The sequence below is a fragment of the Homo sapiens genome, chromosome 1, assembly GCF_000001405.40.
Source record: "Homo sapiens chromosome 1, GRCh38.p14 Primary Assembly".
Lineage (NCBI taxonomy): Eukaryota > Metazoa > Chordata > Mammalia > Primates > Hominidae > Homo > Homo sapiens.
This window is the reverse complement of record NC_000001.11, coordinates 59711522-59738084: the sequence shown is the minus strand read 5'-3', so window position 1 is coordinate 59738084 and position 26563 is coordinate 59711522. Positions and strand designations below refer to the sequence as shown.

General features: G+C 41.5%; 1 protein-coding gene and 1 non-coding gene across 56 annotated transcripts in view, besides 1 other annotated feature; one reads left to right on the top strand and one right to left on the bottom strand.

Annotated features, from left to right (window-relative positions):
• FGGY (FGGY carbohydrate kinase domain containing) overlaps positions 1-26563 on the bottom strand; it is a 466353-nt gene that overhangs the window by 24646 nt on the left and 415144 nt on the right. The window lies entirely within an intron of this gene.
• MIR4711 (microRNA 4711) lies at positions 4789-4858 on the top strand. Its single transcript, NR_039861.1, has one exon. It is a non-coding gene; the product is annotated as a microRNA 4711 (primary transcript).
• Positions 6874-7168: an enhancer, noted in NCBI's record as "tiled region #6224; HepG2 Activating DNase unmatched - State 1:Tss, and K562 Activating DNase unmatched - State 5:Enh". NCBI's record gives its function as "activates a minimal TATA promoter and a strong SV40 promoter by Sharpr-MPRA in HepG2 and K562 cells {active_cell/tissue: HepG2 | K562}" and the evidence as "EXISTENCE:reporter gene assay evidence [ECO:0000049][PMID:27701403]".

Genomic DNA, 26563 nt, shown 5'->3' with positions numbered 1-26563 from the left:
TAGGGGAGCTTATTTGACTTGGTTGATTCTGAGGACTCAGGAGACCTGGGCTCTAGACTCTTCTTTTACTTTGTAAATGGTATGAATTCAGACAAGTTTTATAACCACTCTGGTCCTCAGTTTGCTCTCGCCCCCATGATTCAATTACTTCCCACTGGGTCCCTCCCACGACATGGAGGAATTCAAGGTGAGATGTGGGTGGGAACACAGTCAAACCATATCATTCTGCCCCTGGCCCCTCCCAAATCACATGTCCTCACATTTCAAAACTAATCATGCCTTCCCAAAAGTCCCTCAAAGTCTTAACTCGTTTTGGCATTAACTCAAAAGTCCACAGTCCAGCGTCACCTCTGAGACAAAGGTAAGTCCCTTCTGCCTATGAGCCTGCAAAATCGAAAGCAAGTTAGTTACTTCCCAGATACAATGGGGGTACAGGCATTGGGTAAATACAGCCATTCCAAATGGGAGAAATTGGCCAAAACAAAGGGGCTACAGGCCCCATGCTAGTCCAAAATCCAGTGAGGCAGTCAAATCTTAAAACTACAAAATGATCTCCTTTGACTCCATGTCTCACATCCAGGTCACACTGATACAAGAGGTGGGCTCCCATGGTCTTGGGCAGCTCTGCCGCTTTGGATCTGCAGGGTACAACCTCCCTCCCAGATGCTTTCATGGGCTGGTGTTGAGTGTTTACAGCTTTTTCAGGCACATGGTGTAAGCTGTCAGTGGATCTACCATTCTGGGGTCTGGAGGTCAGTGCCCTCTTCTCACAGCTCCACTAGACGGTGCCCCAGTAGGGACTCTGGGCTGGGACTCCAACCCCACATTTCCCTTCCACACTGCCCTAGCAGAGGTTCTCCAAGAGGACCCTGTCCCTGCAGCAAACTTCTGCCTGGACATCCAGGCATTTCCATACATCCTCTGAAATCTAGGTAGAGGTTCTTAAACCCCAGTTCTTGACTTCTGTGCACTTGCCAGCTCAACATCATGTGGAAGCTGCCAAGGCTTGAGGCTTGCGCCTTTAGAAGCCATGGCCTGAGCTCTATGTTGGCCCCTTTCAGCCATGGCTGGAGCAGCTGGGATTCAGGGCACCAAGTCTTGAGGCTGCACACAGCAGGGGTACCCTGGGCCCTGCCTACAAAACCACTTTTTCCTCCTAAGCCTCCAGGCCTGTGATGGGAGGAGCTGCCATGAAGACCTCTGACATGGCCTGGAGACATTTTCCCCATTGTCTTGGGGATTAACGTTCGGCTCCTTGTTACTTATACACATTTCTGCAGCTGGCTTGACTTCCTCCTCAGAAAACGAGGTTTTCTTTTCTATTGCATTGTCAGGCTGCAAATTTTGCAAACTTTCATGCTCCGTTTTCCTTTTGAAACTGAATGCCGTCAACAGCACCCAAGTCACCTCCTCAATGCTTTGCTGCTTAGAAATTTCTTCCGCCAGATACCCTAAATCATCTCTCTCAAGTTCAAAGTTCCATAAATATCTAGGGCTTGGGCAAAATGCCGCTAGTCTCTTTGCTGAAACGTAACAAGAGTCACCTTTGCTCCAGTTCCCAACAAGTTCCTCATTTCTATCTGAGACCACTTCAGCTTGGACTTTATTGTTCATATCACTATCAGGATTTTGGGCAAAGCCATTCAACAAGTCTCTAGGGAGTTCCAAATTTTCCCACATTTTCCTATCTTCTGAGCCCTCCAAACTGTTCCAACCTCTGCCTGTTACCAAGTTCCAAAGTCAATTCCACATTTTTGGGTATCGTTTCAGCAGTGCCCCACTCCCGGTGCCAATTTACTATATTAGTCTATTTTCACGCTGCTGATAAAGACATATCCCAAACTGGGCATTTTACAAAAGAAAGAGGTTTAATTGGACTCACAGTTCCATATGGCTGGGAGGCCTCACAATCATGGCAGAAGGCAAGGAGGAGCAAGTCACACCTTACATGGATGGCAGCAGGCAAAAAAAAGAGAGAGAGCTTGTGCAGGGAAATTCCCCCTTATAATACTGTCAGATCTTGTGAGAGTTATCAGCTATCATGAGAACAGCATGGGAAAGACCTGCCCCCATGATTCAGTTACCTCCCACTGGGTCTCTCCCACAACATGGGGGAATTCAAAATGAGATTTGGGTGGGGACACAGCCAAACCATATCAGGGTGTAAGGTCCCAGGGTGTGTGTTTTCCCTTTTCCCAGCTCCTGAGCACAGCATATTTGGGGGAAAAAAATCTAAGAAAGGAGTTCCATCTCCTGCATAATGCATAAATAAAAGAGATGATACTTAAAATGTCATTTTGATTTATTTTTCTATAGTACAGTTGAGACTCAGCTTACTGTGATGGCAGAAACTCTGGAGACAGAGACCTCGTTTTGAAACCTGCCTCTAATCTTACCTGTTTGTGGGTCTGAGCAGCATTCTTAATTTTGCTAAGCTCTGTCTTCCTTCATAAATAGATAAAACAGGAGTCATAGCTGCCTTGTAGAGATGGTGGGTTGAGAAGTAATCACTAATTCTTAGCTCAGTGTTTTGCAAACAGCAGGTGTCACAAATGTTGGTTACCTCTGTGCACAGTGGATTCAATGGTGAAAATGCCACAGGTCTGAGAATGCTCTCATAAGAGTGAACCAACAATACTCAGAGAAGACCACAATATCACCTGGTGTCAAAGCAAGGACTAGAACTTGGGCCTCCTGACTCCCAGGCTGTAAATCTTCCTCATGAGCTAAAGAGGTTGGAGAAAAATGGAAGGTTGGATGTGGTTCTGTGGAGACAAGATGTTAACTAAAGCAGGAAGGAGGCCTAAACCTCTTACCTCAGAGGGCTTGTCTATGGAAAAGGGATTCTCAAGGGGGCCAAGACATGTGTGCAGTCAGTGGGGTGGGGTTGGAGAGGGGGAGAGTGAAGGTTTTTGTGTGCGTATGTGTGTGTGAACGTTCTCGAATCACTGTGAGAAGTCTTCCCATCCCTCTCTCTACCCCTGCCCCACCATCACCTGGTCTTTGTGCCTTGGAGAGTGAAATTCAGAAGAACAAAAATTCTTTTAAGGTTTTTGGATATGACCAGATAGATGAGGCAAGGTTGTGTTTAATAACCTTGGAATCTTTGCTAGTTTATTTGCAGAAACCAAACTTATCTCTGCCAGGTAATTACAAAATAATCTGTCACATTAGAGGCAAGGACAGAGCATAAAAGGATCTTGTCCACAGCCCCTGGGCACCTTGGCCCCCAGGCCTTCTCTGCTCAGAAGCAGGAGGAAGAGCAGTACCACAGAGGTGAGCCCACAACCAGCTCCCGAGGCCTTCCTCTCTCTGTGGGAGGGCAGTCCCTGTCAGAGTCAGAGGGACCAGGGCCATCCCCTCCCCCAGGGGCTGCTTCAGGGCACTGAGAGGGGAGAGGAGGGTCTCGGCATTCCTCAATCACCTCATGTTAGGTTGAATGGTATGTATGTCTGTGTCTATATGCATGTATGCTTCATGTATGTCATAGCTTAGCTGAGATTCAAGGGATGCACAGGTATTAATGGCTGAAGGAGGGGGAAGCATGTGTCTAGCAGAGGAGAGGGCCATACGGAAGGACGAAAAATGACACTTGACTCACGCCTGTAATCCCAGAACTCTGGGAGGCCAAGGTGGGTGGATTGCTTGAGCCAGGAGTTCTAGATCAGTCTGGCCAATGTGGCAAAACCCCGTCTCTACAAAAAAACACAAAAAATTAGCTGGGTGTGGCGGTGCACGCCTGCGGTCCCAGCTACCTGGGAGGTGAGATGGGAGGATCACGTGAGCCCAGGAGGTCAAGGCTGCAGTGAGCTGTTATGGTACCACTGCACTCCAGTCTGGTCACCAGAGCAAGACCCTGTCTCAGAAAAGAACTTATTCATGTAACCATACAACACCTGTTCCCCAAAACCCTACTGAAATAAATAAAAAGAAAAAGAAAAGAAAACTGATACTTGAGGAATGAGAAAGGCTGTGTTGTTGGAGCAGATAAGAGTGAAGGGAAGTGTGGGTGAAACAGAACCAAGAGGCAGGCAGGGCCATACCACGCGGACCCCACAGTCTCCTTTCCAAGGGCCCTGGGAAGCCAGAGCTACTGTCACCCAAAGGCTCTGCTGAGGTCAGCAAGGGCCAGGGGACATCAAGGTGGCTCTCTTATCACCCAGATATGAGAGATGCTCAGGAGGCAGAAAACATGCTTCAGTGACAGACCAGATGAGGGTGTTAGGGAGAGAAAGTTGTTAGAAGTAACTCTTAGATTTCTGGGCTTAGGCATGTGGCCCACTTAGGGGGATGCAGAGTGAGGGTTTGTCCTTACGGCTGTGTGCACAGAGCTCCTGTTTTTAGATCTCACAGGGCTTAATTCAGGGACATGGAGTAACTGAGAAGGAGAACCTCAGCCTTGCCTTGTTCTGAGAACAGCAGCAACAAAGAAAGAAATCAAGAGAAATAATGTTGCAAAAATTCCTCACAGACAAGGCCAAAGCTTACATCAGCCAGTCATGTGGGTTTTAAGCTTGACTATTTAGTAAGAAATGAATTTGTCCTTGTAAGTGTTAGAAGATCTGGCATTTACACCTGAGATGTGAAGGTGCTTGCTTTAAAAAACAAAACAAAACAAAAAAACAAAACAAAACAAAACAAAACAACAGCATAAGTTCTGAATATCCAGTCAGGAAGTTTAAATGCAGCACTGGACAATCAATACAGAGCCTGAGGCTCAGCCCTTCCCACAGAGACATCACCCAGTTTCCCGAGGGTAGTGAGGAGGAGATGGGGCAGGGGACACAAAAATGTGCATCAGGCCAGAAGACATGAGCCCTTTGGAAAGGTCTCGTGTCTTCTGGCTTGATGCACATTTGCTAGGCTTTATGCACAGTCACCATGGCCATCTGGAAACACAGAAACTTTTATTTGGGGGTGCACAGGCCCGGGGACTCCATGAGGAGAGTGTGTAGGACGTGGACAGGGAATTCCAGGGGAGCTCAGTAGGTGTTTAAGGCTGGAAGGGAGATGGAGAGGCCTGTAAGTAGTAGTAGCGAGTAGGGAAACCTGGATTAAACTCAGGCAATCTGGCTCCAGGAGAGAAAGTCCTTTGAAGCAGAGCGAATGAACAGAAGCCAGCAGGACTGAGCAGTAACAATTACGGGGAACAGGGGGAAGGTGCATCCAGGTACTCGGGGGCCATGTGATGGGTTTTGGAATTCTGTCTAAATTCCATGGTGGAAGCTCGTCGCGGGGATTTCAGGGTGCAAGAATTGCATGTTCCTGTGACGTCTCTGGTTCCAGCAGGAAAGCAGCCGGCAGCATGAGACCAGTTAGGAGATACCGCAGTGGTCTAGGTGGGGGCGACAGTGGTCTGCATAAAGTAATCAACTAACCAACTAGCTAAGCTCCTGAATACCTTCCTTCCCTTCCCCTTTCTTGCCCCCCTTTCCTCTATCTGCTTTGGTATCTCTGACCCCCCTTTTCTCTCAGCAGAAGGTAGAGGACAGAGTGATAAGAACTCCACCCTGCTCAGTTTGCCACAACATAGACAGACTTTGCCATTCCTCATCTTCATCTCTGAGGTGCCCTCCCTGCACTTCCCCATTCAGGATCATCCTTTTCTGTGCCTGCATGCTGACAGGGAGCAGCTGCTTGTATCTAGAACAACTCCCAGCTGTTCTTCCAACTTTTCTTAAGTGTTTCTTAGTGTCAATGCCTCTAATTAGTTAAAATAGGAAGGGGGGTGGTAAACAGAGGAGCACAAGAGAGGCCTAATTTTAGCTGTAGCCAAAAGGACTTTCCCCTAAATACACTGTGATCTCAAAATACTTAGCTAAGCCCATATGTACATGGCGGGGAGAGAATTTAAAGAGCTACAGAAGTAAAATTCTCTGGTCAAATGGGACAGCTCTGCCTCTTTGTACAACTGGATTAAAGAGAAAAGGAATGAAAATAAACTGAACCCTCACTCTGTGCCAGGAACTGGACCAGATGCTTTGTGTGCGGCAACTCAGCAATTCATTTAATCCTCACAGCAACTGGATGATGACGGGACTGGTATTACCTCCATTTTACAGATGAGGAAACTGAGGCTCGGTGAGGCTGATGCTACTCTGTGCAAGATGACACAGCTAATGAGAGAGCAGGATTTAAATCTGGGTCTCTCTGGCTTAACTGTATCTAGCAAGAGGAAGATGGGGCCTCAAACCTAGGATAAACAGGGCATTGGGAAGAGAGCTTAAACAGGGATTCGGAGCAGGGGATCAGAGCCAGATTCCAGGGGATTCTGACTCTTAGAACACTCAGAGGCATCATCATAGAAACTAGCAGGACTTACTCAGTGCCTCAACTTTATCCAATCCAGAAATCCCTCCTGGCCCTCACAAGGTATGCTGGAGGAATGACCAGACTGTCACTAACAACTTACAGGTAGATAAATCATATGGAGAATGCCCCCCACCCCCATCTCCTCTTCTCACTTCAGCAAAAAAAGGAAAGACAACAACAAAAAACAACTAACCCCACTGCTTCCTGTAATCAAAGGAATACGAACTGGCTAATCACCCAACCCCCTACAACCTTCTTAAGGTTAGGGGAAAATCTGGGCTCCTTCAGAAAAAAGGCCACCTGATAGGACTCATGGCGTCAGCTTCCTTCATCTCGGTTCATGCTTAAAAGGCCTCTTCACCGGGAAGCTTCCCAGTGAGGTTTTCCACGCACATCTGGACACTTTCCACAATAGGCCTTTGAAGAGGCCTGAAGTATTCCGGGAAAGTCTGCCTCACTGGGCTGAGGTTTAAAGAGCAGAAGCCCACATTTATTTTTCTTTCCCGCCTTCTTTGACAAAACTCCCCTCAGTGGTTTGTGGGCATTTGCAAAGCAGCCCTGATTTTCAGCTTGCTACTTCTAGGGCTGAAATCTTAAAGAAAATGAACAACAATAGAGCAAATTCAAAAGAGCATGGGTATCATCAAAGACTGTTTATGTGTTCTGCTCCTCCACCAGACTCTGAGTCGTGCTTAGTCATCTTTGTAGCAGGGAGAAAATGGACCTTGGCCTCAAGCCGACTTGCTCCATCACTCAGCATTGGTGACATTTTGTCGAGTCACTTAAACTGTCTGAGGCTCAGTTTCCTGACCTGTGAGTTAACAGGGGCCTGCCTTGCGTGGGCTACTAAACGTTCATGAGGTGGGTTAAGTAAATCACTTTGCATGTTGTCCGACATGGACTTTGACAGGTCTGTGCTGTCTCCTTGGCTGGGTCCCTCTCCACTATACAGGCTAACAGCTACTCATTGTTTACAACTCAACTCAGGTGATGGTTTTCTTCTCTGGCAATGCTTTACCTCTACCTCCCTCTTGCTTGGGCTAGATGAGGTATGTGTCCTCAGTGCTTTAAAACTTCCCTATTCTCTGATCTGTGGTTTATTGTTATTTTAGTTGTATGTCCACCATGCCCTGCCCCCACACCACTGTAATAATGTAGGCACCTGATGTCTTTCCACACTAAGCACAGTGCCTGGTATAACAATATGCTCAATGACTGCCAAGAGATTAATTAGTCTATTAGCAACTATTTATTGGCCCGCTTACTTTGAGTCAGGTGCTATTCTGGCTACTGAAGCTGTAGCTATGAATAAAACAGACATGGCCCCTGCTTTCATAAGCTTACATTCCAGTAGGGAAAGTCAGCAAGTACATTAAAGACATGTAGAGACTTGTGGTTATAGCTCCAACATGTAAAAACTGTCTAAGTCATTTATCCCATCCTTACTCCAAAAAAAAAAAAAAAAGCTAAGAAACTGCAAATCAGTGATTTTTGTTGGATCCATAAGAGAACTGAGGTTACAGGACAAACTATCACCCTGAAATCTGAAGAGAAAGGACAACCCAGACAGTCACAGCTGAGATCTTACTTGGAGGAGCAGCTGCTGGAGTCATAAACTGGTAGGGACACTTCAGTGGTAATTTGAAGTGTTGGGGGCTGAGTGTGGACTAATAGGAAAGCGAGCAACTCCTGAGGGTAACAGTCTTAGTGGAAGGGGGCCCACACTTTCATCGGTTTTACCTCCAGGAATCCAAAGAGTCAAGAATGATCCCCTCTTGGCTCTGGCAGGGGGAGGGAAAGCGTAAACACTGTAAAATATTTTTTACAGTGTTTTTCCATAACACAGAGTTCTCCATAATAAAGACCTTTTAAGAGGAAGAGACTTTACAAAAGCCTATTGCACACAGGGGAAGGACATCTCTTCAACTCTAGTGCCTGCAAGCCTTCTGTCTCACCTAAAGGAGTAGGGGCCTAAGAACATCTATGAAGGTCATAGCTCAGGGACATAGTCCCACTAAAAGACAGATATAATCAAAAGATTATAGAATGCTTTTCCTTCCCCATACCTTAAAACCACATCGACATGACCCCAGTATAATATTAGTGAATTACAGCTCAAAGAGCAGCAAGACATAGACTCTATCTAAGGAGGAGATCTTAGGGACGCCAAAGACAATAGTGGGGATGAAAAAATAAGGACAATAGAAGAATGTGAGGCCTCTGGCATGTACAACTATAACAAACATTAAACACAGTTCAATTTCTAACACAAAATGTCACATATAGACCTATTTGTCTCAGTTCCTATTACCAGATACATCATATCCATGTTTCAACAAAATATTAAAAGGCATGCTAAAAGGCAAGAAAAACACAGTCCAAAGAGAGAAAGCAAGAATCAGAACCCAACTCAGATATAACACAAATGTTAGAATTATCAGATAATTTAATGCAACTATGATTAATAAGTGTTCTAATAGAAAAAGTAAACACTATGCACAAACGGACAATGTAACGAGAGACGAAAATGCTAAAAAAGTATCTAAAAGAAATCCTAATAATAATAATAATGATAATAATAATAAAAAGACCAACAGAAACAAAGAAGGCCTTTGATGGCCTTAACAAGGACAAGGAAAGAATCAGTGAATTTGAAGATACATCAGTTAAAAACTTCCCAAACTGATATGCAAAAAGAAAAAAGAATGGAGGGAAACACCCAGGACACCCAAGAAAAATTTCAAAACGTATAACATATGCATGGTTAGAATATGAAGATAACAAAGTGAGAATGGAGCAGAAGAAATATCTGAAGTAATAATGGCTAAGAATTTCCCAAAATAAAGAAGAAACACCAAACAATAGATCCAGAAGTTCAGAGAACACAAAGTAGAATAAATATGAAAATATCGAAAGCTGAGCAAATCATAATCAAAATTAAAACCAAAGACAAAGAGGGAATTTTGAAAGAAGCCAAAGGGGGCAAGAAATCCACCTAATCTATAGAGAAACAAACATAGGAATTACAATGGACTTCTCAGAAAACCGTGTAAATAAAACTAGAATGGAGTAAAATATTTAAAGTATTAAAAGAAAAACCTCACTAACCTAGAATTCTATGCCCAATGAAACTATCCTTCAAACATGAAAGAGAAAGAAAGATATTCTCAAATAAAAATTTATTGAAAGGAGATCTACATTATAAAAAATGTTGAAAAAAAGTTATTCAGAGAGAAGGAAAATGATATAGGTCAAAAACTTGGACCTACATAAAAGAAAAGCATCAGAGAAGAAATAAATGAAGGTAAATGATAATATTTCATCTTTTTACTCTTAATTGATCTATAATTATATGTTTAAAGTAACAATAGTAACAATATATTGAGTAATTATAGCAAATGGATAAATGAAATAAATTACAGCAATGTTATAATGGATAGGAAGGAGGAATTGAAAGTACTTCCTTATAAGGTACCTGCACTACATGTAAGTGGTATAGCGTTATCTGAAGCCAGACTTAGATTAAACATGTATACTACAAACATTAGGGACATTACTACCTTTTAAAAAAAGAAGTATAATTGATATGCTAAGAGAGGAGAGAAAATGAAATCACATAAAATGCCTGATGAATACCAGTGAAAGGCCAAGAGGAAAAAAAGGTAAACAAAGAATAAATGTTACAAATATAAAATAGTTACAAACATGGTAGATAATAACCCAACTATATCAATAATCACTTTAAATGTGAATTGTCTAAATACACTGATTAAAAGAAAGAAATTGCCAGAGATGATTAAAAGAATAAGGCCTACAAAGAAACCCACTTTTAACTTAGACAGGTTATAAGTAAAGGGATGCAGAAAGCTACACAATGCTAACACTAATCAAAATAAAGTTGTAGTAGTTACATTAATTTCAGGCAAAAGAGACATTGGAGACAAGGAGGGGAAAAATAGTAATTTAAATCTAAAGAAAGCAGAAGACAGGTATTGTGATACCTCTGGCCTTGTTCTTTTTGCTTAGAACTGCTTTGGCTATTCAGGCTCTTTTCTGGCTCCATATGAACTTTAGAATAGGCTTTTCTAATTCTGTGAAAAATCATTTTGGTAGTTTGATAGGAATAGCATTGAATCTGTATGGGAAGTATGGCCATTTTAACAATATTGATTGCTCTGATCCATGAGCATGAAATGTTTTGGCATTTATTTGTATCATCTCCAATTTCTTTCAGCAGTGTTTTATAGTTCTTGTAGAGATCTTTCACCTCCTTGGTTAGTATATTCCTAGGTAATTCATTTTAACTGTGAATATTTTCAAAGAACTTAAAACAGAGCTACCATTCAATGTAACAATCCCATTACTGGGTATACATCCAAAGGAAAAGAAATCATTTCACCAAAAAGACACATGCACTCGCATGTTCATTGCCATGCTATTCATAATAGTGAAGACATATAATCAACCTAGGTGTTCATCAATGGTGGACTGGATAAAGAAAATGTGGAACATGTACATCACAGATTACTATGCAGCCATAAAAAAGAAAAAAATCACGTCCTTTTCAACAACGTGGAGGTAGCTGGAGGCCATTATCCTATGCAAATTAATGTAGGAACAGAAAACCAAATACCACATATTCTCACTTGTCAGTGGGAACTAAACACTGAGCAGACATGGACATAAACATGGGAACAAGAGACACTGGGATGTCTAGAGGGGGACAGGAGGGAGGGGAGACATGGGTTGAAAAACTACCTATTGTGTACTATGCTCACTACCTGGGAGAAAGGATCTGTACCCAAACCTTAGCATCACACAATATACCTATGTAACAAACCTATACATGTACTCTTTGTATCTAAAATAAAAGTTGAAATTAAAATTTTAAAAAAGCAGAAGAAATAATAAAAATTAGAGCATAAATCAATGAATTTAAACACAGGAAAGCAATAGAGAAAAATCAATGAAACCAAAGCTGGTTCTTTAGAAAGAGCAATAAAACTGACAAACCTTTAGCCAGGGTAATCAAGATAAAAAGAGAGAAGTTACAAATTACTAACATTGGCAACTAAAAATAATTTAGATGAAATGGACTACTTCTTTGAAAGACAAAAACTATCAAAATTTACACAAGAAATAAATCATCTGAATAGAGCTGTATCCACTAATGAAACTGAATCAATAATTAATTACCTTCCAAAAACCAAAGTGCCAGGCCCAAATGGTTTTTACTAGTGAATTTTAGCAAACATTTAAGGAAGAAATTATACCAGTTCTTTACCATGTCCTCCAGGAAAATAAGCAGAAGAAAAACTTACTGGCTCATTCTATGAGGTCAGCATTACCCTATTACCAAAACCAGACAAAGACATTAAAAAAAGAAAGCCAAAATCCACTCTCTCTCATGAATATAGATGCAAAATATTCTTAATATAATATTAGCAAATCAATCCAACAACGTGTAAAAGGAATTATATACCACAACCAAATACGATTTACTCCAGGTGTACAAGGTTGGTTCAACATTCAAAAATCAGTCAATGTAATCCATTACATCAACAGATTAAATAAAAACAATTATATAATCATGTTGATAAATGAAGGAGAAATATTTCAAAAAAATCTAACAATCATTTTTTATTGTGATTAAAAATTAAAAATTCACAGCAAACTATGAATATAGGGGATTTTCCTCACCTCGATAAAGAACATGTACAAAAAAACTCTACAGCTATTATCATACTTGATGGAAAACTGGATGCTTTCCCACTAAGATCAGGAACAAAGCAAGAATGTCCTTTCTCACCACTCCTATTCAAGACTGTACTGGAAGTCTTAGCTAGTGCAAAAAGACAAAGAAATGAGAAGGCATACATACTGGAAAGAAAGAAAGAAAACTGTCTTTATTCTCAGATGACATGAATGTCTATGTGGAAAATCACAAAGAATGAACAAATCAACCAACCCACCCAATGAGAACACCACCAAATCCTGGAACTAATAAGCAAACAAGTAAGGGTATAGGATACAGGGTTAATATTCAAGAGTCAATTTCTTTCTAGCAATTACCATTGAGGAAAAAATGGAATTTGATTAAGAAATAACACTTAAAATAGCATGCTGCAAAAAAAACAAAAAACAAAAAACAAAAAAAACCCCCACAAAAACACTTAGGTATAAATCTAACAAAAGTACACAGAATCTATATGTGGAAAATTACAAAACTCTGATGAAATAAATAAATTGAATTTTCAGCGAACTATTTTTAAGTATCCATAAAATGATTCTAAAATTTATATGGAAAGGCAAAAGATCTACATTAGTCAACATAATACTAAAGAAAAAGAACAAAGTCAGTGAACTGACACTACCCAACTTCATGACTTACTGTAAAGCTACAATAATTAAGACAGTGTAAGGTTGGGGAAAGAAAAGACAAATAGATCAATGGAACCAAGGAGAGAATCCAGAAATAGACACAAATAGAGTCAACTGATTTATTCCTTTTCCAACTCCTTTGACAAAGGAGTAAAGGTAATTCAAAGGATATAGTGTAATATTTTCAACAAGTCATGTTTGAAATATTGTATGTCCACATGCAAAACAATGAATTTAGACAGTGACATTAGACATTCTGCAAAAATTAACTCAAAGTGGATCACATATGTAATTGTAAAACACAAAACTATAAAACATCTAGAAGATAACAGGAAAAAATTTAGGTGACCTTGGGTTAGGTGATAAGTTTAGATACAAAACCAAAAGCATAATCCATGAAAAAAATTGATAAGCTGGATCACTAAAATTCTAAAACTGCTCTGCAACAGACATTTTTAACAGAATGGAAAGACAAGCCACAAACTAGAAGAAAACACATATCTGATAAAGAAACTTGTATCTGAATATACAAAGAACTCTTAAAATTCAACAATAAGTAAACAAGCAATGTAGTGAAAAAGTAAGCAAAATATATGAACATGTGATTCACCAAAGAAGATATATAGATGGCACATAATATATATAAAGACACTCAACATCATTTGCCATTAAAAATTGCATATTAAAACAGCAGTGACATTCATCTATAAACCTATTAGAATAGCTAAAATAAAAAAACGAACAATGCCAAATGCTAAAAAAGTATGTGGAGCAAGATTCCAATTATGTGACATTTTAGAAAAGGTAGAACTATAGAGGCAATAAAAAGATCAGTGATCGTCAAGGAGTTGGGAAAAAAGGAGGGAAAGTTAAAGAGGTAAAACACAGGGGAATTTTTTTTTTTTTTTGAGATGGAGTCTCGCTCTGTTGCCCAGGCTGGAGTGCAGCAGTGCAATCTCTGCTCATGGCAAGCTCCACCTCCCATGTTCACGCCATTCTCCTGCCTCAGCCTCCTGAGTAGCTGGGACTACAGGCACCTGCCACCATGCCTGGCTAATTTTTTTTTTTTTTGTATTTTTAGTAGACAAGGTTACACTGTGTTAGCCAGGATGGTCTTGATCTCCTGACCTCGTGATCTGCCTGCCTCGGCCTCCCAAAGTGCTGGGATTACAGGCATGAGCCACCATGCCTGGCCAACACGGGGGATTTTTAACTTTAATTTTTTAATTGAGACGGAGTCTTGCTCTGTTGTCCAGGCTGGAGTTCAGTGGCACAATCTTGGCTCACTGCAAACTCCACCACCCAAGTTCAAGCGATTCTCCTGCCTCAGCTTCCTGAGTAGCTGGGATTACAGGCCCCTGCCACCATGCCTGGCTAATTTTTGCATTTCTAGTAGAGACGGGGTTTTGCCATGCTGGCCAGGCTGGTCTTGAACTCCTGACCTCATGTGATCTGCCTGCCTAGGCCTCCCAAAGTGCTGGGATTACAGGTGTGAACTACCATGCCCAGATGGGATTTTTAACTTTTAGGGTGCTGAAACTATTCTATATGATATTGTAATTGAATATGCATGACATTATGCATTTATCAAAACCACTGAATGTTAGAGTACAAAAAGTAAACCTTAATGTACGTAAATTTTAAAAATTCAGGAGGTGGGGGATCCCATGATGGAATGTAGTATGTCAAAAACAATGTAACTGTGTTACTAGTGTATAAAACGATCTCACTCTGTGTGGTGGGTGATTAAGGTGCTGACCTAAGTAACTTCAGAAATTAGTAGAGTCTGAAAAACTAAAGATAAAAAAACCCCCAACCACCCCCCCCCAAAAAAAAACAAGAAAATGCCAAGAAAACTGTATATAAGTACTGTCTTCCAGTTAATAAAGTTGTATTCTGCAATGGTATGAGTTAACAATTCTGGTATTTCTATACATGTATACTGAAATTGAATAATTAAGTAAATGGATGGCAGATGGTGGGAGCCAGATTTCTCATTATTTGAGGGGGAATTTAAATATAAGCAAGGAGAGCGAGTTAGAATGATCCATGTGGCAATAGATTACAGTAGGAAACCAGTGTGAATTCATGTTTAGCTTAATATCAAAAAGATGATTACATACAGAAATATTTATAGATATGGGTATATACATGGGTTAGGGTACATACACATTTCCTTGCTCTTTCAGCTGGGAGGGCCAAGAAGCATTGACAATAGCCCAAGAGCAATGAGCACACTTAGTGCCCAAATCTTGGTGTCTAACCACCAGTCTCCAGTAACAAGAAGCAGACTCTGGCCAGGCACAGTGGCTCATGTCTGTAATCCCAGCACTTTGGGAGGCCGAGGTGGGTGGATCACGAGGTCAGGAGATTGAGACCATCCTGGCTAACATGGTGAAACCCCGTCTCTACTAAAAATACAAAAAAATTAGCCGGGCATGGTGGCGGGTGCCTGTAGTCCCAGCTACTCGGGAGGCTGAGGCAGGAGAATGGCATGAACCTGGGAGGTGGAGCTTGCAGTGAGCCAAGATCGTGCCACTGCACTCTAGCCTGGGTGAGAGCAAGACTCCGTCACACAGACAAAACAAAACAAAACAAAAAAAAGAATCAGACTCTTTGGAGAAATGGCTGATTCCAGAACTGGAGCAGGAAATATGCACAATTAGCCTAAAGTGCCTTGTAGTGCCAGAAAGTAAGAATATAATAATTTTTTAAAACCTCACAAGACACACAATTACGGGATTATGTCAAAGGGTCATAGGAGCCAACTGAGGAGTTGCCAATGGCTACAACTGGAACAACTGAGTAACAAAACAAAGTAGTACTGGATTATAACCAAAAATATAAATATGTATGAGTTATCAGATGAATGAGTGAATAAATAAATGAGAAGAGACAAATCTCCCAAACAGCATAATTCCAAATTTATGTAGATATTCCTCCCACGAGGAGGTAGATCGTAACTTACTTCTCACTCACTCCTTAAGTTTGAGATGTGTTTAGTGACTTCTTTCCAAAGAGTACAGTGTAAAAAGGAAGGAGAAAGAGTAATTTTATAGTGGAGAAGCCTGACAAACACTACCTTAGGTGACCAAGGCCAACATCAATAGCGATAAGTTACACTGATAGTAAGTATCCTTGATATGATATGATGAGAATGGTACTTTGTCAGTCTTCTGTTTTCTCCCAAAAGACCAAAACTCCAATCATGAAAAAAAAAAAAATTAGACAAATCTCAACTGAAGGACATACTACAAAGTATCTGACCAGTACTCCTCAAAAATGTCAAGGTCATCAAAAGCCAGAAAAGCTTAAGGAGACATGATGACTAAATGTAACGTGGTGTCCTGGAAGGGATGCTAGAATAGAAAAGGGATGTTAGGTAAAATCTAAGGAAATCTGCATAAAATATGTGCTTTAATTAACAAAGGTCTCGCTTTGCTTCTATTACTGTGCTCACAAAACAAGTAAACACTATTGGATATTGCTGTCCTCAGGGAATCTGCAGAAGTCTGTGAATGTTGATACAAGTTGGTTAATCTTGGGCCCAGCTAATGCTAACTTGTTCAGTTACCTGTCAGGTGTCTTTCACTCTGTTTAAAAATACATTGCATTCCAAACTGGTGAACAAATAAAATAAAATAATAATAATGTATCAATACTGGTTCATTAATTGTAACGAACGCACCATACTAATGTAAGATGTTAATAATAAAGGTAACTAAGTATGTGGTTTAGAAAAACTCTCTGTATCTGCTGGGTGTGGTGGCTTATGCCTGTAATCCCAGCACTTTGGGAAGCCAAGGCAGGTGGATCACTTGAGGTCAGGAGTTCGAGACCAGCCTGACCAACATGGTGAAACCCTGTCTCTACGAAAAATACAAAATTAGCCGGGTGTGGTGGTGCACGCCTGTACTCCCAGTTGCTTGGGAGGCGGAGGCAGGAGAATTGCTTGAACCTAGGAGGTGGAGGCTGCAGTGAGCCAAGACTGTGCCACTGCAATCCAGCCTAGGCAACAGAGCAAGACTCCGTCTCAAAAAAAAAAAAAAAAAAACAAAGGAAAGAAAAGAAAAACTCTCTGTATCATCTTCACAATTTTTCTGTAAATATAAAACTCTTCTAAAAATAAAGTTTATTAAAATAAAATATATGGTCATGTTTATCAAAATAACACATAAGTTCATGCACATATATCACACAGATGGTGGTAAGTACTAGGGAGAAAAAAACATCAAGTAGGGCAAGGGGGACAGAGAATGGTAGGCGTGGAGCAGGCAGTTTGTATAGGGTGACTAGGAATGGCATCTCTCTGATAAAATGACATTTGAGCAGAGATCCAAGGGAATGAGGGAGTGAACAATGAAAAAATCAACGGAAAGATGATTCCACACGGAGGGAACTGTAAGCTTGAAAGCCCTGAGTTGGAAGTGTGCTCAGTGAATGGAAAGAGAGCAACGAAGCCAGACCTGCTGGGGCAGTTTGGGCAAGTGGCAGAAGGAGATGAAATTAGAAAGGGAGTGAGCACCAGGCCAGGAGGGCTTTGCAGGTCCTGAAAAGAACTAAATAAATGAATGAATAAATAATATGAGTGGAAACTTCCTCCTAAAGTTTATTCTAGGTATTCCAGCCTTTTTTTAAAAGTCATCCTTCATAATATACCTCCCTCCCCCAGGCAGGCACAAGTATTCATCATAACAATAAGAAAATCAATCTTAGCTGCAATTGTTACAACAAGACCCTCTAGTCTCCTGGAAGATGCCTAAGGCATGTCATCTCCTTTCCGAAACAAAATTTGAGTCTGTTTCTAGACAGGCAAAGTGAAATGAAGGCTTGAGGCCAATTTTTCACATAATTTAATATATACATATATAAAACTCACATATGCCTGAAATCTTTAGATAATGGAAAGAAAAGTGGATTTTCCTCTCTTCATTATTAAAGTAATTGGCTCAACCTCTCATTTCATTTTGCACATGTAGGCACAACCGAGTCTGTAATTAGTTTCAAACCACCAAAGTAGAAACAGAATAAAACCTCAGCTAACTGAAGGACCTTTTTTTCCCCCTGACATACTTGGCTTTCAATGGCTACAGGCATAAGGCATGAATCCGAAAGCAAGATCATGACTGGGACTTGCTTAAAAAACAAAATAACTTGCAAAGCATGCATTGGGTGAGTTCACTATGAGCCCCTTACCTGTTGCCTTTTCTATCTCTATTTTCAGTCCCACATAATGAGAGAAGGTATCCTGAATGATGATGAAATCCCCAGTAATCAGAGGAGAGACCCCAGGCTCATTGCTGGCATGCTAACAAAGGCACGAGAACACTCACCTCTTACAGAGATTTTTACCAATGAGGAGGAAATCACACCACTTTGCTCTGACCTTGACTTTAACAAGAAAGTTATATAAAGGCATTCTACTACATGGGAGTAAATTGTCGATCTCTCAATAGTGGGGACTTGAACTTAAAATATTTTGGTTTATTTAAGGGTGATGCATGCCACACTCAATCACAGGTCATGTCTTTTTGGGGATAACCTCTCTGAACCTCAGTTTTTTCATCTCTAAAATGACAATTATAATTTCTGCCAACTTGCAAGGCCCTTATCAATATTAAATGAAAGAATGTTCCTAAAATGCCTAGAACAGTGTCTGGCCTATAGTAAGTGATTAACATGCACCGCTCTTTTTTATAAACATAATTATACATCCCATATTTGCACTCAGCATGGATCTGGAGAAATGCAGGCTCTCGATAAATGTTTGTTGAATAAATAACTGTCTGAATGAAATGTCTCCAGAAAGTCTTAAAAGATACTTTAATAATATTTAATATAATGCTGATAATAACTATCATTTATTGAGCATCTACTGCTTGTCACATGCTGTGACATATGCTCACATATATCATTTCACAGAATTCTCATGATTACCTAGTAATGTGGGCCTTTTTTAGCTCCATTTTACAAATGAGAAACCGAGGTTGAGAAAGGTTAAGTAATTTCCCTAGGATGACATGGCTAGCAAGTGGCAGAACTGGATTTTTAACTCATATCCTTCTGATTCCAGAGGCCATGCTCTTAACTGCTGTAGCATCCTGTGCAGTATTTAAAACACTTAAAAAAAAAAGTTCTGTTGACTTCTTTGTTAAGAAAGACTCAATTAGGGTGAAGAGGTCTTCCTGCTTCTTCCCAGAATAGCCTCATCTTGTTGGATTGGCAGCTCCTAGGCTAGGAACAGGTGGGACCAGTAAAGCTGCCAGGGACAGGCCCTTGAGAAGGTGGCTGAACACACTGTCCAGTCCCTTTCAAAGTCTAGTGGGGATGGCTCTCACACAGGCTGGCAGGGTGGATCCTGGGTGTTGAGCTGGGGTGTGACCTTGAACAAAAGAGGTATAAGTACCCCAGGGGCAAAAGTCAATTGTTCTGAGAAGGAAGCTGGTGAAGTGGTCCTGGGTGCCAGTTATAGGGGGGTCAGGAAGCTAAAGCTAAGGGCACTGGGAGTGGCCATGAGCCAGGAGGCCAGGGGCTGAGAGTCTGGGGGAAAGTAGTGAAAGCCTCAGACAGGCTGCAAGCAATACCACGCTTGGCAAGGGGCCTTTGTAGTGCAAGGTCTCTGACCCCATGGTATACAGCGGGGAGTGTCAATGTGTAGGTGAAGGGGTGGTATGGGACAAATTCAACCTCAGAATGCTCCTCTGGGTAAACTCACTTTGGAAGAGGGACAAGTGACAAGCTTACAAAGAACCATCATCATATCACCATCCCAGGAGTTGGCAGAGGGCAAGTCGCTAATGCATGGGTGTGCCTGCTATGCCACTGGTGGTAGTGGAGAGCCTCACATGCTTCTATCTGGAACAAGTTGTGTTTAACAAACATTTGTAGAGAGCCACCCTCTGCCCCATGCCAGGCTCTGTAGGAACTGCAAGAAACAGAGGTTAGGAACTGGTTGGTGGCTCTCCTGGAGGGAGTCACCGTCTAGAAGGCAAGCCCTTTATTACTACCAACCACGAGCTTGGCTGATCTACCTCCTTAGTTTTCCTACTGAATCAGAGAAGCCTTATATCTATCATAATAATGTGTTAATAAACAGGAGGAGGTTTATGGTTGTAAAATGCTTTCACACCAACAGGAGGCAGTGTGATCTGATAGAAAGAATGTCTGGATCAGAATTAGGAAGACCTAGTTCAAATGCCAGCGTAACAGTTTGTTTAGTTGTTTGATCTTTAGTCAAATCCCTTATGGTCTTGGACCCACAGTCTCATCATCTGTAAAACTGGGCTCGTAACACCTATCCTGTTTTCTCCTGAGAGGTAATGTGACAGTAAGTAAGAGCATGGACTCAGGGGCCAAACTGCATGGGTTCAAAGTGTAGTTTCTCTACATACCAGCTGTGTGACCATAGGTGTGTTACTTAACCTTTTCTGTGCCTCAGTCTCCCCAGCTATACAAAGAAGATGATAATACCCCCAATCTAATAGGGTTTCTCTGAAGACTAAATAAGTTAATATATGTTAAGCGATTAGAAGAGAAATTAGAAAGTGCTGGCACACAGAAATACTTAAGTGCTATTGATGGGAAGACACAATATATTGCATAACTCAATCAGCATATAATTCTTGCCTTTTCCGTCCTTCTTCACATAGTGCCAGTAGCCGTGAGACTAGGACTTGAGCCTAAATCTCCATACTTCAAGTCTTATGTCCCTCAACTATGACTAAGTGGTAAGACTTAAGCAGTGCTGGTCATGGCCTTCTCAATCTACATGTGTGCCTTCTCTTCTTGGCATAAGTTCTTCAGCCATCCCAAACCCAAGCTCTGGGTGTTCATCCCAGGATTGCCTCTCCATCGAATATCACACTTCTGGGTTCACACGATTTCCTCCTTCCTGTCTTTCCCATCCGGCCTTTGTTGAAAGAACTGATCCTTTTCATTATGGTATCCTATGCTCTAAACCATGCCATAGCTGCCCATTGCCTGTGGTGGGCAGTATCAGAGTGGTCCAGGTAGTGTAAGGTCTTTAATTCATGGCACTTTCCATCTGAGTCCATGGGGAATTGTTTATAGGTAACAGTATTAGAACAAGCAGAACCTATGATTATATTAAATGGGTTTATAGGGTATATAGATTACCCTATAAAATCTCAACGACAAGCACATGTATCCAAGGAAGAACGTAACAACACAAAAGCTCTGCACTGTTGAACTAAGTAAGCAGAATATTTCTAATTTTCCCATCAACCTTTGATTGCTATAATCTAAGCCTCAATTTTCATATCTGTAAAACAGGATGATACCTACATCACAGAATGGACAAGGAGGGTTAAGGGCGAGCATATGTGAAATGTGTGTGGTCAGCAATCCTGCAACTAAGTGTTATGATGATCACTATTGTTATTCTGAAACCCAGGTACCTCTCTCTGGCCTTCAAAATCCTGTAGAATCTGTCACCACATTATTTACTCATTCTGATTTTCTACAGTTCCCAGGGATTTGCTGATTCTGTCCGTCTGAGAGCTCTCACTTCCATTTCTGCAGGAAATCTGTGGTTCCTTTTCCCGCTTCCATCATGCCTGAATCTGAGCCTCTCCTTTTTAAATTCAGTCTGTCATTCAAGGCACAGTTCACATTTGACCAGGAAACTTGAGAGCCCTCCCCTCCCCTGTCCGCTCTCTTGTTCCCAGCTCTCTGAATTCACACTCACTTACTGTCTGTACTAAATAACTTACTTTAAAATGCCTGCTGTTGTCTCAGTATTTTGGTTTTGTCTCCCTAATTAGATTGTAATCCTTTCTCAAGCAGCCACTGAGATTCTTTTTTCTTTGATGCTAGTTTGCCGCATAAAACAAATGTTCCAAAAGTTCCTAGCAACGTTTCCTCTGAGGGTCCCCAAATGGAGTGCAAAGATTCCTGGGAGCTCAGAGATCAAGATGTAGTTTCTTCATCTTTTAAATGAAAATAATGATACCAACCTCATAGAGTTGTTGGATAGACTGAGATCATGGGCATAGAATTGGCCAGAAATATGCTTAACTGAATTATCTTGCAGAAGAAAAGCAAAAGGTAACTGGAATTGATAGGAAACTGGGAAAGGAGGTAAAAAGAAAGGGAATACCATGCTAATAAAACAGATGTATTAAGTATCTCCTGTGTGCTAGGTACTATGCTAGGCATTTCATATATATTATATATAAGATACTGGTGACTAACACAAGTTCTGGAGTCAGGCTGTTTGATTCAAATCCTAGTCCTACCTGTTACCAGCTTTGTGGCCCCAGCTAACCTACTTAAAATAGGTTTTAATACCTTTGGCTTATTTCCTTCATCTTTAAGTTGAGATAATTTAAAGCAGAGGCAAACTTTTTTCTATGAAGGGCCAGATAGTAAGTATTTTAGGTTTTATGGGCCATTTGGTCGCTGTCACAATTATTTAACTCTGCAGTTGTAGCACAGTAGCAGCCATAGGGTCTATGTGAATGAATGGATGTGATTGTGTCTCAATATAACTTTATTTTCAAAAACAGTCAGTAGGCAAAATTTGGCCTGTGGGGAGTAGTTTGCCAATCTCCAATATAGAATCTATTTCCTTAGGTCTGTATGAGGATTAAAAAGTTAACATAGACTGTGCTCTTAGCACAGTGCTCTGCACATAGTAATTACTCAACAAATGTTGGCTGTTGTGTATATAATGGACCCATGGAATAGGTGTTAGTATGTCCCTTTACCGGGAAGCAAACTAAAGCTCAGAAGTAACTGAACAGTTTCTCCAAGATCTGACATCTCATAGTGGCAGAGTCAGACTTAGAGCACAGGCTTGACTGACTCTAAAACCAGTAGTTTTCTCAGCCATTTTTAGCCAACTTAAAGTTTGTATTAGAACCAAGACCAAATTTCATTGACCCAAGGGGAACCAAGTGTTTCGGGACTTGACTTAGACACTGGCAACCTATCAATTGATTAAATTGGGCTGCGGATCCCAATGAATGTTGCTGGAAAGCACACAACTTTTTGCCTTTGAATCCTGATTCCAGTCAGTAGGGAACAGGTGTGGAATTCATGTTCACCACCCTCTAAGGGTACTCACAGTCTTAGCCTTCCTTGGTCTCAGCATTGGTTTTTTATGGTACCAATGGATCAGCTGCTTTTGGTGAGCTCTAATTAAGTGCACAAATAGGGCAAGCTTCCCAAATCCCACATTAGTTCTGCTTTGGAATGCCAGAACTTTTCTACCATGGAAAAATGCTTCATGCCCTGACTCTTAACAAACCCAGCAAGTTCAAATGCATTTCTGGGAGGGACAAGAATCCCAAGCTGTTATGTGAGAAGGCAACGAAAGAAAGGGCTTTTCTTGAAAGGGGGAAACAAAGGGCATCCAGAAATGTCACCAAAATGCCCTGCAAACTCTCAAGCTTGCTCCAAGTTGTTCTTTGAAGGCCTCGGAAGTATGATGCATGTAACTCTTTCCTGGGTCAAGGATAGCATACTTAAACCTGAGAATCTGAAGCCAGTATCAGCAAAGATTTCTTTTCATATGTCAAATACAAGGAATAAAAAGGAAAAATAACTCATGCTAAATGGCACAGACTTTGTAACTTTCAAAACTCTCCACCTATTTGACTTGTTATTTCTCTCTCCTCTTCCTCTTTTCCTCATTTTCTTCCTTCTCCTCCTCCTTTTCTTTTCTACACTCACTCCAAAGTCCCATCTAATAACTGCTTGATTCTAGGGGGACTCTCTGGTACTGTAGCTGAGAAGACATAGTAATGGTTGTTTTTATGCATGTGAATTTAACAGCAATCAGCTGTTTGTTTTATATTTAATTCCACATGTGCCAGAGTAAAACCATTTAGGCTATAATCCCCCAAAGACACCACATGTCTGTCTATTCCCAGAGTTCAGTGGACCATTGTGTTGACATATTTTCCCTCATCAAAGGAAAGAAACTAGCTTGGCCTTCAACTTGATGCTCCCAGAGACAAAGCAATGATGGAAGCCACAAAGATTCACCCACCACTAGGTCTTTGAAGTCCCAGATCTAAGTAGATCCTACAGGCTTCATGCTGGCACCCAACCCAGGCCTCTGGTAAGACAGACATAATCCTTCCACTGGTCACCATGGCTTCCTGCCCAGGGAAAGAGCAGGCTCTTTGGGACTTTCTAGCTCAGGAGAGCTGAAGGGGCCTTCATTTAAGGTGGCCATAGTTTATTATCCCAATGAACTCACCTTTGAGTCCTAGACACTTTTTGGAAGGAAAGGGAATGTTATTATTAATAATTATGCCAAGATTAAGACATTAGCTAGGTCTGTCCTGGATATATTATCACCCTTCCACTTCATTTCCAAGGAGCTGCTGATGGTTTGGAGAAATGATTGTCATTGGGCACTTCTCTCTTAATGATGGTAAGAAACAGAAGTTTCAGACTTCAAATTTTGATTTTAATGCCTCTATTCTGTGTTGCTTCTTCTGAAAGATTCTACCAGATGTTTTAGACTTCCAAAAAGCAAAGATATACCTAGAAAATACTGAAGTATGCAACAAATACTAATTGTATCCAGGGCGGAAGCCTTTCTGATGATAGTGAAAGGGGAAGAGGTTCCAGCCCCACATGTGGGAAGGGCCATCTTCTTGAAAGTCTTAGAGTAGGAGTTCTCAAACTTTGGACCAATAAAATATTCAAACTTTTTGGAGATCTACAACATAATTGTCAGCTTTTTATTTGATTATATAAGGACTTTAAACAAAGCAACTGCTCCATATTTACTCTCACCATTATTTCATAACCAAAAGGAGATTTTAATACCAAAAAAGTGGTTATCATGATATCAGAATAAAGGAGAATCATTTAAATAGTCTACATTTAATTTTGTTAAAATCTCAATACCCTGTCCTTATTGTTTCATTTCTCATGGACTAGTGAAGCTTTGTGAAGGACCTGCAGTGGGGACCAGCTGCACGAGTGTGTCACCCATTAAATTGGTGCCAGTAGAGTGGGGTGTTGCTGAAAAGATACCCAAAAATGTGGAAGCGGCTTTGGAACTGGGTAACAGGCAGAGGGTAGAACGGTTTGGAAGACTCAGAAGAAGACAGGAAGATGTGGGAAAGTTTCGAACTTCCTAGAGACTTGTTGAATGGCTTTGACAAAAATGCTGATAGTGATATGAACAATAAAGTCTAGGCTGAGGTGGTATCAGACGGAGATGAAGAACTTGTGGGAATGGGAGCAAAGGTGACTCTTGTTATGTTTTAGCAAAGAGAATGGTGGCATTTTGCCCCTGCCCTAGAGATTTGTAAAACCTTGAACTTGAGAGAGATGATTTAGGGTATCTGGCATAAGAAATTCCTAAGCAGCAAAGCATTCAAGAGGCGACTTGGGTGCTACTAAAGGCATTCAGTTTCAAAAGGAAAACAGAGCATGAAAGTTTGCAAAATTTGCAGCCTGACAATGCAATAGAAAAGAAAATCCCATTTTCTGAGGAGAAATTCAAGCCGGCTGCAGAAATTTGCATAAGTAACGAGGAGCCAAATATTAATCCCCAAGACAATGAGGAAAATGTCTCTAGGGCATGTCACAGGTCTTCATGGCAGCCCCTCCCATCACAAGCCTGGAGGCCTAAGAGGAAAAAGTGATGTTGTGGGCCGGGCCCAGGATCCCCATGATGTGTGCAGCCTAGGACTTGGTGCCCTGCGTCCCTATAGCTTGGCCTGTGGCTTCAGAGGGTGCAAGCCTCAAGCCTTGGCAGCTTCCATGTAGTGCTGAACCTGCCAGTGCACAGAAGTCAAGAATTGAGGTTTGGGAACCTCTGCCTAGATTTCAGAAGATGTATGGAAAAACCTGGATGCCCAGGCAGAAGTTTGCTATAGGGGTGAGGTCCTCTTGGAGAACCTCTGCTAGGGCAGTGCAAAGGGAAATGTGGTGTCAGAGCCTTAACACAGAGTCTCTACTGGGGTACCGCCTAGTGGAGCTGAGAGAAGAGGGCCACCGACCTCCAGATTCCAGAATGGTAGATCCACTGATGGCTTGCACTGCACGCCTGGAAAAGCTGCAAACACTCAATGCCAGCTTGTGAGGGCAGCTGGGAGAGAGGTCGTACCGTGCAAAACCACAGGGGCAGAGCTGCCCAAGATGATGGGAACCTACATCTTGCATGAGTGTGACCTGGATGTGAGACACAGTCAAAGGAGATCATTTTGTAGCTTTAAGATTTGACTGCCTTGCTGGATTTTGGACTTGCATGGGGCCTGTAGACCCTTTGTTTTGGCCAATTTCTCCCATTTGGAATGGCTGTATTTACCCAATGCCTGTATCCCCATTGTATCTAGGAAGTAACTAACTTGCTTTTGATTTTACATGCTCATAGGCAGAAGGGACTTGCCTTGTCTCAGATGAGACTTTGGACTGGGGACTTTTGAGTTAATGCTGAAATGAGTTCAGACTTTGGGGGATTGTTGGGAAGGCATGAGTAGTTTTGAAATGTGAGGACATGAGATTTGGGAGGGGCCAGGGTGGAATGATATGGTTTGGCTGTGTCCGCATCCAAATCTCATCTTGAATTCCCCCATGCTGTGGGAGGGACCTGGAGGGAGATGATTGATTCATGGGGGTGGGTCTTTCCTGTGCTCTTCTCATGATAGTGAATGGGTCTCGCAAGATCTGATGGTTTTAAAAATGGGAGTTTCTCTGCACAAGCTCTATCTTTGCTTGCCGTCATTCATGTAAGATGTGACTTGCTCCTCCTTGCCTTGTGCCATGATTGTGAGGCCTCTCCAGCCACATGGAACCTCTTTCTTTTGTAAATTGCCCAATCTCGGGTATGTCTTTATTAGCAGCATGAAAATGTACTAATACACCCGTGCAATGCACAGAG